Source organism: Homo sapiens, chromosome 2, assembly GCF_000001405.40.
Source record: "Homo sapiens chromosome 2, GRCh38.p14 Primary Assembly".
Taxonomy (NCBI): Eukaryota; Metazoa; Chordata; class Mammalia; order Primates; family Hominidae; genus Homo; species Homo sapiens.
In genome coordinates, this window is record NC_000002.12 from 1,547,331 (window position 1) to 1,567,957 (window position 20,627).

A 20,627-nucleotide genomic window follows, 5' to 3' on the forward strand; every position below is an offset into this window, starting at 1 on the left:
CTTCGGGGCCCTTCCTTGTCTCTTCCAGGTTCTGGGGGCTCCAGGCAAACCTGACCGGGGCTGCCCCATTCCAATTCCGCTGCCTCCACGTCTCCTTTCCCTCTGTCTGTGGAAAACCCCTCCACTTCCCTTTGGAATGGGCCTGGGTTGTGGCACTCAGGCTCCCCCAGGTGGTCCAGGCAGCTCTCCTGTTCTCCAGACCCTTAATCTTTTCCCTCTAAAGATCCTTTTTCTTTCTCCACGTAAGGTCTCGTTCACAGGTTCCAGGGACTCGGATATCTTTCAGGCAATCAGTTTCCAGCCTTCCACATCGCCATGAACTTTCTGGAATAAAACCTCAAATCCTAACTAACTCTGCATTTGCACAATTTAAATAATCAATATTTACTGTCAAGAAGAGACACCTCTCAAAAACTGAAATCCTGTGATCAGTGAAATAAGTACGTCATGTGAGTATATCGATAAGCATTACACAAAGAAAGACAGAAACACACACTGCACACACACCCAAAACCCCTCACACCACCCACCACACACACACACAGCCACAAATCACTCACACCACCCACCGCACACACACACCCAAAAATCACTCACACCACCCACCACACACACACACCCAAAAATCACTCACACCACCCACCACACACACACACACACACAGCTAAACATCACTCACACCACCCACCACACACACACACACCCCCAAAACCACTCACACCACCCACCATACACACACACCACATACACGTCCCCACAGTCAAAAATCACTCACACTTCCTACCACACACACACCACACCTGCACACACACCACACAGACACACCACATACCACACCTGCACACACAGACATCACACCACCACTCCTGTTTAGGAGTATGGAAGGGCTTTCTTTCACCCGATCAGTGAAGGGGAATCAACCCTTAAGAACTACCGGGCGCGGTGGCTCACGCCTGTAATCCCAGCACTTTGGGAGGCCGAGGCGGGCGGATCACGGGTCAGGAGACCGAGACCATCTTGGCTAACACGGTGAAACCCCGTCTCTACTAAAAAAATATAAAAAAAATTAGCCGGGCGTGCTGGCGGGCACCTGTAGTCTCAGCTACTCAGGAGGCTAAGGCAGGAGAATGGCACGAACCCAGTAGGTGGAGATCGCACCACTGCACTCCAGCGTGGGTGACAGAGTGAGACTCCATCTAAAAAAAAAAAAAAAAAAAAAAAACTCTACCAACAAAAAAATGACACTTCATTGGTCAGTGACAGACTATTTAAGGATAAATATTTTTAGTCAGTGTTTAACTTATGTACATAAAAACTCAATGAAATCATAAGACAGCATTAAATAGCTTGTTTAAAATAAACCGAGGGAACTCGCCTCTTGGGAATCTTTAAAGAAAAATCTTTAAAGAATGAAACAGTGGTCAGAGCCTCTTTGCTTTACCATTAAAAAAAAATGTAATGCACTTTTCATGACTGCCATTTTTGCAGGCAATTTCAGATGCATTTTCTACCTCCCCCATCGGGGTTCAAAACGCAGTACCCCAAATGCAGCACCTTGGTGAATGGCCTGCTTTGAGCTGAGGGAGATCTGGAAGTCAACAGAAGCAAGAAGTCCTCTCTGGCCTTCACCCTTCTTCCCACTACAAAGGCCATAATGGAAACTAGGGCTCTTCTCCCTGAAAGCAAGCCGTAAAACCTGGGAGGGTAGCTCTCTGCCTCCCCGCTTCTCCCGGAAGGTTGAGTGTCTGTGTCCTGCTGGGCACCCAGGGGACGATCCCAGCACAGACCCAGGAAGGATTCTGCCAAGGGGCCTGGCCAGGCTCCCGGCTCACCAGCTCCAGGGCACGCCTTTCTGTCCACTCCCAGAACCCCCTGGTTCCTGCTTCCTTCCTCAGGCTTAGCAGAAGAATTCCGTTTCCCGGGGCCTTGGGTCCTCATGTGTGGCGGAAGGCTTTGGCTAAACACATGTGCCATGCCCTCCTGTCAGTGTGACTTTGGGTGCAGGGGTGTCCACCACGAGCCTTGCAATGGGTAAGGAGAAGGAAACTGTCTCCGGGATGGACTGGCCCCACACCCCTCCCTCCTGCCCTCACCCACCCTTGGTCTCTACAGGAGCGAGTTTCATCCCAGGCTGAGCCCAGTCCCCGGGGCCAGCACCTGTCTGCAGAGTACCTCCAGTCCTCAGTCCTGGTAAGTAACTGGATCCCGGAGCAGCTGCAGCCAGTGGCTGTGCAAGTCTGCCCTTCTGCCTGGCAGCTCTTTTCCTAGAGCAGTGATTCATACTTAACAGGCGCTCCAGGGAGAGCATAAAAGTGACCACCCCAAGGAGAAAAGCAGAGGGGCCAAGCTTTGATGGCTCCCATTGAGAAGTTTCATGAGATAATCCAAGGAGAAAGATGAGTACAGTGCCTGCCAGTAACAGTTACTCAGTGGCTTCTAGGTCCCTCCAGTCACAGTTACTCAGTGGCTTCTAGGTCCCTCTCTCGGAAACCAGACTGACATTCCTGAGGCTGCAGGGCAGGTAAGCCTTGGCCCAGAGGGAGGCAGAGAACAGGCATATGGTGCAGAACAGGCATAGTGCAGAGGTGGATGCACATTTTCCAGATTGGTTCGAATTTTTCAGGACATCCATTTTGTGCTGTGGCCCCACCCCAGCCACGTAAATAGGGACAAGTTCCACCTGCCATAGGACACCGCCCGCCCCCTCTCCAGACACCTGCCTCTTCTCTTCTGCAGCTGACAGCAGGGCTTCTCCTGCTGGGTCTGCAGGCCTCCATCAGGCCCTGGCTTTGGGGGCTCACCCCAGCCCATCTCATGCAGCACTGTTGGTGCAAAGGTGTCCCTGCTCCAGGGCTGGGCTCCTGTAGACCAGCAGAGGCTGACTGAGCTGGACCCGTGGGCTGGGGGACTTTGACCTGGTTCTGTTGAGTCAACTGACCTGCCTGAGGGTACTGCTACTGCTGTCACCCAGAGTGCAATCAATCACAGGCCCTGTGCCCGCATTTCACAGCTAAGGAATGGCAGATCCTGTGCGGGGAGGGAAGGAAGGAAGGGAGAAATGGAGGGAGGGAGGCAGGGAGGAAAGTGTACAGGGAGAGACAGAGCGCAGGGCTGCTGGATGGAGAGACCTGGACCGGGCCAGGCTTGGCCGTGTGAGGAGCGCCTGTCCTTCTAGGGACCTTGGAGATCAGGGAGCAGGCTGCTGACAAACGACTTATTTCTCCTCCCTCTGAACTCCCAAATTCCCAGAAATCTGCCTCGAAAGTGGGGAGAGCAGAGAGGCTGTGAGGTTGGACCGAGGGGGCCCACGGCCTCACCCTCCTTCCCACGTGGGCCACCCCTGGACGCTTCGTTCGCAAGCCTGATATTGTCCTAAGATGTGGTTTGATTTTTAAGGGCGGAGAGATGGGCTCAGCTGCTGGTGGAATCCAGCCCCTCCGTCTTTGCGGGATGTGGGGTCTCTGCCTCCTGCAGTGACAGCACCGGCATGACCCAGCCTGGCTTCCCGCTCCCAAGCGCGGGCACCTGCGGCCGAAGACGCGGCTCCGCAGCGCCACCTAGTGGCCGCCCAGCCTCTCCCCAAAGCGGAGCCTTAGGACGAAGCTCCCTTTCCCCGAGGTCCCTGCAGGTTTCTGTGGAGCCTGGGAGTCTGAATTACTGTCTCCCGGGTGATTCCTAACCCTGGAAACTCGCTGCTGCTCCCTGGGGCTGGTGGTCGTGCCAGTTGCTGCGTCAGAGCAGTTGGGCGCCCACAGGCTGAGGACGCCGGGGCCAGGGTGAGGGTGAGGCTCCACCTCAGGGCTCCAGAGACCGAGTTTTGCACTTGACACTTCCTTAACCTTCGAAAGCCTGATTCCTTCTTATCGCCCTGAGGGCCTGAGGTCCCCTATCTGCATGATGGAGGGGTTGGATACCATGGTCTTGAAGACCTTCCATTCCTAGGGTGACAAGATTCTAACCACATTGCACATGGAACACTTCTCGGTGCAATGACCCCAAACAACATCCCAGCCTGTGCAGTTCCCACTCCCAGAGATCCGAAAGTCGGTGGGTGACGACCCACGTGTGAAAGGGGCTCTAGAGAGCTGCCTACAGTCTCATGTCCCCCCACCCACCGCCCTCCGTGTGCTCAGCACCTGAACGTCTTCACAGAGACAGGGCAGAGTCTGTTTAAAAGGAAGCTCCGACAGTCTCCCTACGAAGAGATGGCCGCCACCTCAGGCACGTGGGATATTTCTGGGGATGGAATTGTCGCAATAATGAGGAAATCCCCTGTGGTTTAATGGGCAGAGTCCCAAAGGTGCTTGACATCCTGACCAGCACAAGGCAGCCCACCTCCTGCAGAAACTGTGAAAAAAAGGCAAGAAAAGTATACCCATAACTAATTTGAGTGGTTGTAATGTACACTGAAACAAAAAAGTCTTTTCAATTTTTTTTTCTTTTTGAGATGGAGTCTCACTCTGTCGCCCAGACTGGAGTACAGTGGCACGATCTCGGCTCACTGCAACCTCTGCCTCCCAGGTTCAAGCTATTCTCCTGCCTCAGCCTCCCTAGTAGCTGGGATTACAGGTGTCTGTCACCATACCAGCTAATTTTTGTATTTTTAGTAAGATGAGGTTTCACCATGTTGGCCAAGCTGGTCTCTAACTCCTGGCCTCAGGTGATCTGCCCACCTCGGCCTCCCAATGTGCTGGGATTACAGGTGTGAGCCACTGCACCTGACCCTTTTCCCGATTTTAATTGCACTAAACTTCCATAGAATGCTGACAGCGCATAAACATGATAATGTGTCTTTGCAATTTTCAAGCTTAAATACTTAGAATCCAAAAATATGATGAAGTGTGGAGTTTATTTGAACACGAAGTTGGAGGATAGTCACATAGGAAACACAGACTCTCAAAATGGAAAGTTAAAGTCTCATTTACATAGTCAGAGGCAGAGGTTTAACAGGTTGCAGCATTTTCCAACAAGATCAAGACATAGGTTATAGCGATTTGACTTGATTGGTCACAGCTCGCTACACTAAGGAAGCTTGTTTTAACATCCCATAAGGAAGGGTAATGGTCTTGAGGCGGTCTCACCTCTGGTACCATTCAGTCTTTCCTAATCATTACAGGACAAGAATGAGGAAGAGATTTGACCCAGAATAAAGAAGCAGAAGGTGCAGCTTCACACCATGCGACGCAGGCCCCACAGCCACGTTCCTCTCAAGGCTCAAAATCAGGTACGGTTCCAACAGCTTTCAGTTTGGATTAATTTCACATCTCCCCTTTTCAACATCAACATGATCCTTTTGAAGAAAGCTTAGTAGCTGAATGCAGATGGTTTGGGAATCTCTGTATGTTTAGGGGCTTAGCCCCAGATACTTAGGAAGGTTCACTCCTAGGACGTTGTCTCCCATGTCTAGGGCCATGTGCCAAGCTGTACAGAACTGACGGGGCATAGGCCGAACCTGGAGCCACATGAAGGAAGTGACGTGGTGACCTTGGTCAGGCTACACAGCTGCATTGTCCGTTAATGGGATTCTGTGAGTGACGATTATTTTAGTATCTTCAGTTGTGAACTGACTCCATTGCACACCAATGCCAGAGCAGGGAAGACAAAACAGGCCAGAACCCAACCAACGATTGATTAACAGCTGCTTCTGCCAAGTTCCCCAAGACCTAAACCAGCTGCTTAACCAACTGTGTGGAGAGGTTTTGGATCTGAAAGTTTTGTTATTGGGTTTTCATATCGGTAATTAATTTAGGGACATTATCTGATTCATCTGGGTTAGGGACATGACGTTCAGTCTTTGTGATGGTGCAGGTTCCCTCTGGGGCTGCAGTGAGTCTGTCTAAGGCTATACGAGCCTGTAATGCAGCCTTTCTCATAAAAGCATCTTCATTGTTTATTAACATGACACGTGGCTATCATTCAGGGCCTTTTTCAGTTAGGAGGTACACTGTCCTTCCCTTCTGGGCCTTACCTCGTCCTCCTAGAGGACCTTTTATAATTCTGGTCACTTGAGAAGGAAGTTTACATTTGCTTATTGAATTGGCCTTCAGAATCTGGCCAGTTTCAAACATTACAAATTTTGCTCAATCCACATAGCTTCAATTTCTCTTTTCAAAGAGAAACTGTTTTCTTCCTGACCAAAATTTCAAATGGGACAAAAGGTTCTAGAAACTCTAATGAATAATTCAAAACAGAACCTTAACTTCAAAAAAAAATCAAAGTCTTGAATCTGGGGTCAGCAGAATCCCAGAAGAATAACAAACAAAACTCCAAGCTTGCAGTAGGTCTTCCAGCCCTATCGAGTTAGGAATTTGTGTGGCTCAAATAAAAGTCAGAACTTCAACAAGCTGGGAGGTTCGGACCCGAGAAGATCCTTCCCAGAGGTCCGTGTTGACTCCAGCGAGGTCCGGTGAACCCAAGCCATGTGTGCTGACAGCAAGGCTCTGGCTGTTGGTGATGTAATGGGGATCACTGGAGGCCCACTTCACATCCCTTTGTGGTTAGCAAAATGCCAATCGTCAATAATGAAATTTGGAAAAGATGATTCAGTATAGAGTTTATTTGAGTGCAAAGCTTGAGGGTCATCACCTTGGAAACACAGACTCTAGATGAATGGGCTCTGCTTTTAAAGTGAGAAGTTAAAGTTTCATTTTATAAGCAGAGACAGAAGTATGACAGGGCTACAGCCTGTTTCAAGGAGGTCACAGGTTAAATCTATTTCACTGGATTGCTCACAGCTTGCTGCATTCCAAGGAAACTCGCTTTAACTTTCCACAAGGAGGAGTAATCGTCTTGAGGGGCCTCATCTATGGTACCAGTCAGTCCTTTCTAATCATTTACAGGACAAGAATGAGGAAGAGATTTGACCCAGAATCAAAGAAGTTGCAGCTTCACACCTTGTGACTCAAGCCACACGGCCACATTCCTCTCAAGGTGCAAAATGATCTCAACTTACAACAGCTTCACATCTGAATTATTTCATTTCACAGGGACTTTATACCAAGGTTCTCCACGTTGCACAAAGATCACTACACCTTCCAAAACCCTGCTCAGGACGTCTTAGTCATGCATTCACAATGGGAACTGGAAGTAAAAAGCATTGAGACTGTTCCACTGACAATTGTTTTACTTCTTTTTTATCTTCATTAGCAGGCATCAGGCAACTTTAACCAACCTTCTAGGCAGTTGTCAGTGATCATTGTCATATTAAAGTGCATGTTATAGATTATAAATTACTTTCATGTTATTTTTCCTTTATCTTACACTTACTTACAGCATTATGTTGATTTTTAAACTATATGGAAAGGGAAGTTACATGAGCTATAAATTCCCCATTACATGGTCAAGCCGCATTACAAAAGACTTGCTATATTAGAAGAGGGCAGTGGAAAGTCTTGCTTAAAATCTTAGTGTTAAAATTCTCACTAAAATGTAAGTCACTGAGAGTATCTCTCTCTTTGCCTCAGAATAAGCTGTGATGAGAGACATAGAAATAAGAGGGGTAAGTTTGGGGGTTGCACAAACAACGCTTGCTGAAGTTTTACACCCTCCCCTGAGCCCTGGGCATGGAGCTGGGGTCATGCCAGGTGGCTTTCTGGATATCATCACTTCTTCCTCGCAGAAGCCGCATTGTATGTGTATGCATATATATGTATGTGTGATGCGTGTGTGTGGTGTGTGGTGAATGTGTGTGTTCTATGGGTGTGCATGTATGATGTCTGTGTGAAGATTTGGGTTTAGAAGTCACTCCAGGCAGAAGCAGGAGGTCGGAACAATAACCACATTTTGCAGCGATTTCACAGGAAGGTTTCAAACCCACAAGGATTTCTCCTCAGCCCTGAGAGCATGAAATTAAACCGAACATTGCAGCTGAGACGAGGGGGACTCCGTTCTCTTTGCAGCGAGGGAAGGGGCCAGCACTCCAGGAAAGAGCTGCCCATGGACAGCGTCACCCAACAAAGTCTCCCATTCTGTACACAAGAACCTGTCATATCATCCTATACTGAGAGCCGTATACAAAGTCTCCCATTCTGTACGCAAGAACCCCTCACACATCATCCTATACTGAGAGCTGTATACGAAGTCTCCCATTGTGTACACAAAAACCCCTCATATCATCCTATACTGAGAGCTGTATACAAAGTCTCCCATTCTGTACGCAAAAACCCGTCATATCATCCTATACTGAGAGCTGTATACAAAGTCCCCCATTCTGTACACAAAAACCCGTCATATCATCCTATACTGAGAGCTGTATACAAAGTCTCCCATTGTGTACACAAAAACCCCTCATATCATCCTATACTGAGAGCTGTATACAAAGTCCCCCATTCTGTACACAAAAACCCGTCATATCATCCTATACTGAGAGCTGTATACAAAGTCTCCCATTCTGTATGCAAAAACCCGTCATATCATCCTATACTGAGAGCTGTATACAAAGTCTCCCATTCTGTACACAAAAACCCATCATATCATCCTATACTGAGAGCTGTATACAAAGTCTCCCATTGTGTACACAAAAACCCCTCATATCATCCTATACTGAAAGCTGTATACAAAGTCTCCCATTCTGTACACAAAAACCCGTCACATCATCCTATACTGAGAGCCATATACAAAGTCTCCCATTCTGTACACAAAAACCCGTCACATCATCCTATACTGAGAGCCGTATACAAAGTCTCCTATTGTGTATGCAAGAACCCGTCATATCATCCTATACTGAGAGCTGTATACAAAGTCTCCCATTCTGTACGCAAGAACCCGTCATATCATCCTATACTGAGAGCTGTATACAAAGTCTCCCATTGTGTACACAAAAACCCCTCATATCATCCTATACTGAGAGCTGTATACAAAGTCTCCCATTGTGTATGCAAGAACCCGTCATATCATCCTATACTGAGAGCTGTATACAAAGTCTCCCATTGTGTACACAAAAACCCCTCACATCATCCTATACTAAGAACTGTATATTAATTCCCTATTTCTCAGCCTCTGCTGGTGAAGTTTCTGCCTCTTACTTCAGAAGTCCAAGTGGTGAAGAGCCCTTGGCCCACAGGTCTCAGGGTGGTAGGAACGAAAAGGCCGCTCTGAGTCTGCAAACAGAACCTCCCTATTGTCTCTCAGAGCCATCAGGTGCCACCGGCACAGGAGTCTCTACTTACGTGAGACACAGAGGGGAGGCTCCCTCTAACTTCCAACAGGAATGCAAAATGTGCCAGGCCGGGCACGATGGCACACGCCTGTGGTCCCAGCTACTTGGGAATCTGAGGCGGGGGATCTCCTGGACCCAGTGGCTTGAAGCTGCAGTGATCCATGATTGTACCACCACACTCCAGCGTGGACAACAGAGTGAGACCTTACTTCTTAAAAAATATATATTAAACTAAATCTATGAATTACCAGGCTTGTCTAATTTCTAAGTATGAAAAGCAAAACATAAGGAAATTTTGCAGCTCGTTTCATGACTTGTTGCCTTCTTTCCTTCTAACTTGGTGTGTCATCTGAAAGAGGGCAAGGTGGAGGAGTTCTTGCCCCAGGAACATGTCATCAAGCTCTCGGCTGGTGCAGGCGGTCCATGACATTGTGTTCCCAAGTCCTCCCTGCTCAGAGCGTGACCTTGGCTGGTCCCAGTGACTCACATGCTGCTGGTTTCCATGGCAGCCAGACCCATCACTCAGAGCAACGCAGGTTGACTCAGCCCTGGTCTGTCCAAGTCTAAATTTCCTCTCCTGTAAAATGGGAATAACCTGCCTCCAATGGTGAGAATGAGGTGGGGTCGGCCAGGCAGGCAGGGAGCACAGTGAACACTGCCTGCCTTTACGTAACCCGCGAGGCCATCCCCAGTGGGGCCCAAGGCATCACAAAGGCCCCTGCTTGCAGGATGCTCAGAGTTCTCTGCTGTCTCCACAGCTGGCATCCAGCCTCACAGACACCCTCAGCCCAGATGAGGTCCTCAGTGTCCCCATGCTGAGAGTCACAGGCAGATGCCAGCAGGACCCGGCCTGCCTCTTCCTCAGGGGAGGCCTGGACGAGGCTTCTGGGTCAGGACGTGACCCTGGATGGGGCACCAGGCAGCTGCAGTGAGTGGCCAGGACTCAGGCTGTGGGGGCCTCCCTGCCCTGCGTGGGGGTGGGGTGGGGCCAAGGAAGCCCCAGGCCTTCAATTTAGGATTTGCTTCATCAAACGGATCAATTCAGGCTGAAGATAAGCAGCCTCAAAACTCTCTCCCTGGAGAGCCAGTGGAGCTTCCTGTTGGAACTCAGTCCCGTGGGACCCTTCCGGGCAGATGGTGGGGGAGGCTGTGCCCATCCCTGCCACACCTGGCCCCCATCGTGTCCCTCCATGCACCGCAGACATGTTCTCCTGCTGACCTCCACCCTGCAGACGGGCCCGGGTCTCCCCCTGACTGTGTGGGACACAGAGGGGCTCTGCCGACCCCGGGGAAGGAAAGAACGGGAGGAATGTGAAGTGCTCGCAGGACTCAGCACAGCCGCCTGGGCCCAGCCTCTCCTCCTGCAGGCCAGGACAGCTGAGTGAGATCCCCCAAGGCCCCTTCCTGTCTCAAATTTCTTCAATTTTTACAATTAAAGGAAGAGAAGAAGAAAGACGTGCTCTCCTCTCTCATGCCCATGGCTTGATGACATTTTCTTCTAAACACTGAAGATCCTCAGGTAGCTGGGATTCTGTGGCTGCTCCGAAACCCCGGCACACGGGTCCATTTTCCCAGGCCAGTGAGTCCTGGCTCCCCACTCCTGCCTCCTTCCGGTCTTCTCCCCACTCCTGCCTCCTTCCGGTCTTCTCCCCACTCCTGCCTCCTTCCGGTCTTCTCCCCACTCCTGCCTCCTTCCGGTCTTCTCCCCACTCCTGCCTCCTTCCGGTCTTCTCCCCACTCCTGCCTCCTTCCGGTCTTCTCCCCACTCCTGCCTCCTTCCGGTCTTTTTTTTTTTTTTTTGAGACAGAGCCTTGCACTGTCGCTCAGGCTGGAGTGGCGTTATCTCGGCTCACTGCAAGCTCCGCCTCCCGGGTTCAGGCCATTCTCCCGCCTCAGCCTCCTGAGTAGCTGGAACTACAGGTGCCTGCCACCACACCCGGCTAATTTTTTGGAATTTTTAATAGAGATGGGGTTTCACCGTGTTAGCCAGGATGGTCTCGATCTCCTGACCTTGTGATCCGCCCCACCTCGGCCTCCCGAAGTGCTGGGATTACAGGCGTGAGCCACCGCGCCCGGCCCCTTCTGATCTTCTTAAACAAGTTTGAAGCTCTCCATTTTTCCAGGCGAGTCCTGGCTCCCCACTCTTGCCTCCTTCTGATCTTCTCCCCACTCCTGCCTCCTTCTGATCTTCTCCCCACTCCTGCCTCCTTCTGATCTTCTCCCCACTCCTGCCTCCTTCTGATCTTCTTAAACAAGTTTGAGTCTCCAGGTGAAGATCGTGGAGGCCTCATCCTGCTTGCTCAACTTGGCAGCTGGGCGGTTTCCCCCATGGCAGGTGGAGAGCTGGACCCTACCCCACCACAAGCTGCATCTGTCCCGCCTTCTCAAAGGCAGCAATTCTGAGAGCCTGATGGCTTCATCCAGAAAATAAAAAGGAAAGGCCACGTGGAAGGGTTTTGTGCAGGGAGCCACTGGCCCAGCTACTGGGCCAACCCGGGAAGAGCAGGGTGAGGAGGGGACGGGAAGGACATGATGAGTGGGTTTTGCCAGTTCTTCTAGCCAGAGACCATGCACGGGGCTTGAAAAAACTCTCTCTTCAGCTCGAAAAAGCCTGGACTTTGTCCCTAAATAAGGGGGTATTTTGTGGCTCATCATCCGTAGAAGGAGAACTCAGAGGAAAGGGCCTGATCACAGCAGTGAGGCACACTGAGGGGGGGTCCTTCCTGCACTATGAGTGTCCGGGCAGTGGGGCTGTCCTGCCGAACCCCACACAGGGCCCCTCACCAGCAGGTCCTCTGAGCCCACCCTGGCACACAGTGGGCTCTTTTGGGAATGGACCCGGGAAAGCTGAATCGCCCCAGCCTGCAGGATGCCAGGGCAGGGGCAGCCCCTTATCCTGGCCTCCCCTGGGCCAAGTTCCACCTCTCCTGCCTTCCTCATCTCCTGAACCCCCTCCTCCTCAGCCACAGAGAGAGCTCCCACCACCCTGGAGAGTGCGGTGGTGACAGTGACAACTGTGGCCATGAGTGCGGCTAGGCAGCTTTGTACCCAGGTGCTGTCCTGGTACCTCACATCTGCTAAGTCATGTCATTCTCAGGACAATAAATGAGCGCAGAAACAGGCAAGAGCCAGTATTACCCCATCTTACAGGTGAGGAAACTGAGGCACGGGGCAATTAGTGCTCGTCCCCAAATCATAGAGCTGCAGAGTGGTGAATACAGAACAAAACCCCAGCCAGCCAGAGGCCCTGCTCCCCACACTGCCCTCGTTCTAGAAGGTTCTGCCGTAAAACCAGTCCCGCCCATTGTGGATGGGACCAACAGAGACTCAACCACACAGGAGAGAGGGATGGAAGATAACCCGGTGCACAGAGCACAGGGATGGCTCTGACAGCTCCTGTGCAGCCAGGCTAGTTGAATACGCAAGCAAGCGACCGTGCCCGGGCTGTCTGGACTCCATGTCCATGGCCTGGTCACCCTCAGCTAGGTGTGGAAACATGCAGCTGGGGGCTTCCTCTGGCCGAGCATGGCAGCTTTAGGCACCACGGCCAGGCAGATTTTCTTCTGCACCGCGGTGTCCTCATCCCAGCCTGGTCTCTGCTGAGGAGCTCACTTTCCTGCTCTGTGTGGTGCCCCCACCTTGCAAAGGAAAGGATTCCACCCTGCAGAGAGTAAAATTGCTGGTGCTCGACGGGAACGCGTGCACGGCAGTCGCTTCCTTGCAAAGCTACTGAAAATCCATGGGGCTGGAACAGGGTGTGGCCTCTGGCTCTGGGGCTCAGCAGTGAAGGGGGCTAGCCCCTCCACACCTGTGGGTATTTCTCGTCAGGTGGGATGAGAGACTGAGAAAAGAAATCAGACACAAAGTATAGAGAAAGAACAGTGGTCCCAGGGGACCGGCACTCAGCATATGGAGGACGCGCACCGGCATCGGTCTCTGAGTTCCCTCAGTGTTTACTGATTACTATTTTCACTATCTCAGCAAGGAGCATGTGGCAGGAGAACAGGGTGATAGTTGGGAGAAGGTCAGCAAGAAAACATGTGAGCAAAGGGATTTGTGTCACAAATAAGTTCAAGGGAAGGTGCTACGCCTGGATGTGCACACAGGCCAGATTTATGCTTCTCTCCACCCAAGCATCTCAGTGGAGTAAAGAGTAACAGAGGATCACTGCCACCAGCATCTCTCGTCTCCCACCACAGGGCAGTTTTCTCCTTTCACAGAATAGAACAAATGTACAATCGGGTTTTATACCGAGACATTCCGTTCCCAGGGGCAGGCAGGAGACAGAGGCCTTTCTCTTATCTCAACCACAAGAAGCCTTCCTCTTTTACTAATCCTCCTCAGCACAGACCCCTCACGGGGGTCGGGCTGGGGGACGGTCAGGTCTTTCCCATCCCACGAGGCCATATCTCAGGCTATCTCAGTGGGGAGAAACCTTGGACAATACCTGGCTTTCCAGGGCAGAGGTCCCTGCGGCTTTCCGCAGTGCATTGTGCCCCTGGTTTATCGAGAATGGAGAATGGCGATGACTTTTACCAAGCATGCTGCCTGTAAACATTTTGTTAACAAGGCACACCCTGCACAGCCCTAGATCCCTTAAACCCTCATTCCATACAACACATGTTTCTGTGAGCTCAAGGTTGGGGCAAAGTTACAGATTAATAGCATCTCAGGGCAAAACAATTGTTCAGGGTACAGGTCAAAAATGGAGTTTCTTATGTCTTCCTTTTCTACATAGACGCAGTAACAGTCTGATCTCTCTTTCCCTACACAGCAGGCCGTGGGGAGTCAGTGGAGGAGAGGAACTGGACTGTGCACCCTTCAGAATCCCCCTTTAAAGTGGAGAGCTGGGGACTGACGGTGTGCCTACAATACGGTGTACCTGCGCTCAGTAAAGATACCCGCTGTCAGTCCATCCTCCCACAGTGCCGGCACCTACAAGTGGGGACTGCAGAGCGGGTTTGCCTGGGAAGAGGAAGCATGATGTGCAGAGTGGGCGGTGCAGCAGACGTGGGAAAAGCAAGAGAAGAAAAGGGAAAACAGCGCAGAAGGAAAGCCATGGTCATGCCGATGAGTGCGCTGCCCCCTCTACCCGGCTTCAGGAGTCTGATGACTTTTCTTTCACCCTCTAAGCCAAGATAATAGGAAAGCTAAAACGAAGGGCTTCAGGCTCAGGAAGATCAGAGGCAGCAGTGCTGGAGCTGGCTCTGTAAATTTTACTGACTGTTAGATTTTCCGAAAATTTGTGAGCTGGTTGATGGGTTTGTAGCTGGAAGTCAGTCATAGGTAGAGGGAAAATTTACAACACAGAAATCAGCTAATGCCAAACCTCAGGACTCCTCCCCACCTTGACAGCAGGTGGGGGACGCTCGCCGCCGCTTCTGTGGGCCCCGCAGGACACTCGGCACTTCTGAGCAAGGTTTCTCGTCTGCAAAGTACGGGCAATAATCCATAATGGCAGGGCTGTCGTGAGGTTCAGAACAGTGTAAGTGCAGTCTGCAGCCCAGCTTGATAGACAGCATGTTCAAAAAGCATTAACCAGCACTGATGTTATTACCTTAGACGCACCGCAGGCCAGCCTGGTAGGTAACCAGAGACCGTTCTAAAACATTGGCCCTGCCGATCAAACAGAAACACAGGCTGGGAAGCCTATTTTTTTAGAGGGTGGAGGAAGCGCCGCAAGATTTTTCCATAGACCTACGGAAATCAGTTTTTCCAGTTTCTGGAGCTCATTTCAGGACATGCCAGAAAGGCGGTGTTTCATTCCTGGGCTGGCTCTGCGAGACTGCCTTCTTGCAGCTTCCAAGAGGAGGCACGGAGGTTCCCGGGCTGGACGCCCTGCAGGGAGGGGACATACTTCAGCTGCTCTACCAGGAGCCACACGATCAGGGCAGAAAAGTCGGGGCCTTCCAAGTACGCAGGGACCAGAATCTCCCAAATTCCACTGGAAACAGGCCAGCGTGCCCGTTGGTCGCAGACGAGAGGCTCCTGGGGACACAGCCTCGAGGAAGGGGCAGATACCTCCTCAAGTAATGCCACACCCAGACCTTACCCTGGACCATCTTCAGCGGCACACAAACCTCAAACAATGACCACTTCCCCTGCGAGTGCCAGGTCCCCAGCCCTCCCTCCCACCCAACCTGTGCCTCCATGTCCTCAGCCCAGCACCCTCCAGCCACAGGGGCAGGCACCATTTTAAAGTTGGCCATTTCTCACATTAGACAGTGACCTCCTCCATCATCTTGCTGAGGCACAAATCTAAGTCATGTGCATTTCATTAGCTAATCGTTAGGGGGGAAAGTTAGTATTTGTGTTGATGGCTAGTACTGACCGCAAAAATTAAAAGAAGGTGAAGTGGGCTAAGACAACAGTGATTTATAGCCAGGAAAACAAATGTTTTGCATAAATATGAGAGTGGAATGCTAAGTTTGGTGACAGCTCGTATCAGTGACAGAAACAAGAAAAAGCAATTTATGAAAAGTTTTTATTGTGTGCTCCAGCCAGAATTTATTTTTATTGCTTCGTAAGTGACTTTAGCTTTGTTTTATAAAACCATTAAGGGTCTGAATGGGTCATCAAATTTTCCGGTTCTGTGTTATTAAATTTTAGGAGGAAAATGATGTGCGATGATGGAATTTGAATGGGCAGCCGTTGGTGGATGTTTGAGAACGCTTCCCTCGAGAAGCCTCACCGCGGAGCATCCTTCAATCAACCTCAGCCCGTGCTCACTTACCACCCTGACACCCCCATTTCCGAGTCCACATGGCACCTCCTGGATGCCACGAATGTTCCCGGGCAGTGCTGTGCCAGCACCTATGAGAGCCTGGCCCGTGTTTGCTGGTGATGTCCTGAAAGAGGCCCAGGTCCTCCAGGAACACGCAGGGCTGCATAAAGCACACCTCCTCACATTGTCTTAGAGACGATGGGCTTTCTAAGTGTAAAGCACTCTGCAAACACACACGTCACCTCCTCACCTTCTCCGGCTGAGCACCTGCACCCCCTGGTCTCACCAAGTCCCGCCCCTCACTTCTACCCAAGCTCCACTCCAGGGAGAGGCACCTTCGGCCCACAGAGAGTGTTTCGTAAATTATTCATCCAACAAACGTTTGGCTGTCTCTTCCATGCCAGGCGTTGGGTGTGGCCCAGGGTGCCGGACTCTCTGTGAGCTCACGCACAGGCTGCGGCAGAGACAGTCAGTCCAGACGTCGCAGGTGATGCATGAAGTCAGAGGGCCTGGGAGCAATGCCATGTGCAGCCGATGTTTGCGGGGGAACTCTGTATAGTGTGGTGGACCCGAATCGCCAGCAACAGAGGACACGTGCACCTGGCAGCAGCCTCTGGAGACAGGACGCCCTCGTGTGCTGGGCCAGGGCCCAGGGACCTGGGAGCCAGGGCTGCAGCTTGCGAAGCTTGGGCAGGACTCAGTGTTTCCTCCCAAATGATTCAGAAACCTCTGGAAAGTTATGAGAATGAAGGAAATTGGGCTGATGTCTCCAAAGGACTCTTCAGGCTTTGGGGTGGGGGGAGCAAAAGCCGGGAGAATGGGGCAGGGTGGGCCTGTCCATGTCTGCACGCGGGCCCAAGAGGTAGCCATGGCAGTGATGAGGCAGGGGCACAAGGGAAGGGAAGGCTCAGAGCAGGTTTGCTGGAGCCCATCCTCAGAAGGGAGTCTCTGCTGAGGTCGAAGAGGCCTTTGATGGGGCTTCAGAGTCTGTGACATTCCAACTTCGAACCACTGCTGGGTTCACGTGGAGGTGCAATAATGATAATAACAAGCTTGGGGGTTCTAGTGTGATCTTGCTCCCCGTGGGCGGATTCCGTACACTGGTGACTTGTAAGGACTTCACATTCTTAGTATGACAGAAGCCTTCAATCTCAAATACAAACTCATTCAGGCCCACAGGCGCTGCTGTAAAACGTCCTGTGCAGAAGGTAGAGGCGTCCAAAACTGCCTTGTGAACTGGTTTTTGCTGGCAGCATTTAAATCCACTTCCCTCAACCCCCAAAATGGAAAAACAATTTTCATTTGGAAGAGCTCTGGACGCCGTGGTCGGTGAGAACAACCTTCTTGGAGCCTGCGGTTTCCTGCGGGGAGGGGTTTCCTGTGCCCTGGGCCACGCGTGGACTTCTCTCCCTGAGGCAGGATGTGGGTTGGGGCGTTGGGTCCCCAGGCTTGAGATCTCTGGGTCCATTGAATCTCAGCAAAACACTGGCTCCCAGAAGAAAGGGGAAGCTGGGTGGCTCCCATGGGCCACAGGTCCCCTGAATGCCCTGCTTATCCCTCCCACCCACAGCATTCCTGAGCCCACGGTCAGGCCACATCCTGGGGGACAACCCTGTGTGCTGAAGCAGCTGCGGCCATGCCCAGGCCACAGGAGAGTCCCCGACACAATCCTGGGAGGCCGTGGTCCCTCGTTGTACCAAGTCACCCTCTACACTAAACCACCTGCTACACCAGTAAACCAGCCACTACACCGGTAAACCAGCCGCTACACCAGTAAACCAGGGGAGTCCCTGACACAATCCTGGGAGGCCGTGGTCCCTCATTGTACCAAGTCACCCTCTACACTAAACCACCTGCTACACCAGTAAACCAGCCACTACACCGGTAAACCAGCCGCTACACCAGTAAACCAGGGGAGTCCCTGACACAATCCTGGGAGGCCGTGGTCCCTCGTTGTACCAAGTCACCCTCTATACTAAACCACCTGCTACACCAGTAAACCAGTCGCTATACCAGTAAACCAGCCGCTACACCAGTAAACCAGCTGCTACACCAGTAAACCAACTGCTATACTGGTAAACCAACCACTCATTACATCAGTAAACCAGCCGCTACACCAGTAAGCCAGCCGCTACACCAGCATGCCAGCCGCTACACCAGCATACCAGCCACTACACCAGCAAACCAGCTGCTACACCAGTATACCAGCGGCCACACCAGTAAACCAGCCGCTACACCAATAAGCCAGCCGCTACAACAGTAAGCCACCCGCTACACCAGTAAACCAGCCGCTACACCAATAAGCCAGCCGCTACAACAGTAAGCCACCCGCTACACCAGTAAACCAGCCGCTACACCAGTAAACCAGCCGCTATACCAGTAAGCCAGCCGCTACACCAGTATGCCAGCCGCTACACCAGTATGCCAGCCGCTATACCAGTAAACCAGCCGCTACACCAGTATGCCAGCCGCTACACCAGTAAGCCAACCGCTACACCAGTATGCCAACCACTACACCAGTAAACCAGCCGCTACACCAGTAAGCCAGCCGCTACACCAGTAAACCAACCACTCATTACATCAGTAAGCCAGCCACTACACCAGTATGCCAGCCACTACACCAGTAAGCCAGCCACTACACCAGTAAGCCAGCCACTACACCAGTAAACCAACCACTCATTACATCAGTAAGCCAGCTACTACACCAGTAAACCAACCACTCATTACATCAGTAAGCCAGCCACTACACCAGTAAGCCAGCCACTACACCAGTAAGCCAGCCACTACACCAGTAAACCAACCACTCATTACATCAGTAAGCCAGCTACTACACCAGTAAACCAACCACTCATTACATCAGTAAGCCAGCCACTACACCAGTATGCCAGCCACTACACCAGTAAGCCAGCCACTACACCAGTAAGCCAGCCACTACACCAGTAAACCAACCACTCATTACATCAGTAAGCCAGCTACTACACCAGTAAGCCAGCCACTACACCAGTAAACCAACCACTCATTACATCAGTAAGCCAGCCACTACACCAGTAAGCCAGCCACTACACCAGTATGCCAGCCACTATACCAGTAAGCCAGCCACTACACCAGTAAGCCAGCCACTACACCAGTATGCCAGCCGCTACACCAGTAAGCCAGCCACTACACCAGTATACCAGCCACTACACTGGTAAATCACCCATTACACCAGTAAACCAACCATCACACCAGTAAACCAGCTACTACACTGGTAAATCTACCACTATACCAGTAAACCAACCACTATACCAGTAAACCAGCCACTATACTGCTAAACCAAGTACTACATCGGTAAACCAACCACAATATTGGTAAACCAACCACCACACCAGTAAACCAGCTACTACACTGGCAAATCAACCACTACACAAGTAAACCAACCACTACACTGGTAAAGCAACCACTATACCAGTAAACCAACCACCATACCAGTAAACCAGCTACTACACTGGTCAATCAACCACTACACAAATAAACCAACCACTTCACTGGTAAACCAACCACTATACCAGTAAACCAACCACCATACCAGTAAACCAGCTACTACACTGGTAAACCAACCACCACACCAGTAAACCAGCTACTACACTGGCAAATCAACCACTACACAAGTAAACCAACCACTACACTGGTAAAGCAACCACTATACCAGTAAACCAACCACCATACCAGTAAACCAGCTACTACACTGGTAAATCAACCACTACACAAATAAACCAACCACTTCACTGGTAAACCAACCACTATACCAGTAAACCAACCACCATACCAGTAAACCAGCTACTACACTGATAAATCAACCAATACACCAGTAAATCAGCCACTATACTGCTAAACCAACCACAATACCAATAAATCAACCACTGCATTGGTAAACCAGCCACCAAACCAGTAAACAAGCCACTCCACAAGTAAACCAGCCACTATGCTGGTAAACCACCCACTAAACTGGTAATCCAACCACTACATCGGTAAACTAGCCACTACACCCAGTAAATCAGCCACTATACTGGTAAAGCATCCATTACACCAGTAAACCACCCACTTACGTTGGTAAACCAATCACCATGCTAACCACTACACAGGTAAACCACCCATTACAGCAATAAACAACCACTATACCAGTAAACCAAACACTGTACCAGTAAATCAACCACTATACTGATAAACCAACTACTACACAAGTAAATGAACCACTATACCGGTAAACCAACCACTATATGAGTAAACCAGCCACTATACCAGTAAACCAACCACCACACCAGTAAACCAGTCACTATATCAGTAAACCAACCACTACACCAGTAAACCAATTATTTTATGAATAAACCAGCTGTTTCACCAGTAAACCAACAATTACACTGGTAACCTGGCAATGATGCCAATGACCACCACAGGGACCGCCCACCAGCCAGGACACTGGCACCCAGCTCTTCCAAAGCAGCAGACATGGTCCCTGCAGCCAGAGAGAGCCAGCCCCTCGCAGCAGACGCCGGGTCGTCAGGGACCTGCTGCATTGGTCCCCGGAGCCTTTCCAGAACTCTGCCTGGCATGGTCCTGGGTCACTTCCAGTCCCCAGCTGGGCAGAGGAGAGGACACCAGTTTTCCTCCATGCAGTAGTGACAGAGAGCCATTGAGGATTCTTGAGGAGGGAGGGGACTGAAGAAAAATATGTGGTCAGCGGTTTCGGACAGGGATTTGCTAACCTTG

At 51.0% G+C, this 20,627-nt stretch overlaps 2 long non-coding RNA genes across 5 annotated transcripts in view, besides 1 other annotated feature; one reads left to right on the top strand and one right to left on the bottom strand.

Moving 5' to 3' along the window:
• The window catches only part of LALTOP (lung cancer associated lncRNA targeting TOP2A), a 140,518-nt gene that overhangs the window by 62,429 nt on the left and 57,462 nt on the right, over positions 1 to 20,627 (bottom strand). The gene's annotated exons all lie outside the window — the stretch shown is intronic.
• Positions 3,480 to 3,589: a silencer, noted in NCBI's record as "silent region_11103". NCBI's record gives its function as "represses an Ori minimal core promoter by ATAC-STARR-seq in GM12878 lymphoblastoid cells {active_cell/tissue: GM12878}" and the evidence as "EXISTENCE:reporter gene assay evidence [ECO:0000049][PMID:35858748]".
• Positions 4,600 to 7,225, top strand: LOC102723730 (uncharacterized). The gene is made up of 3 exons (NR_168373.1): positions 4,600 to 5,224; positions 5,408 to 5,527; positions 6,840 to 7,225. It is a non-coding gene; the product is annotated as an uncharacterized LOC102723730 (long non-coding RNA).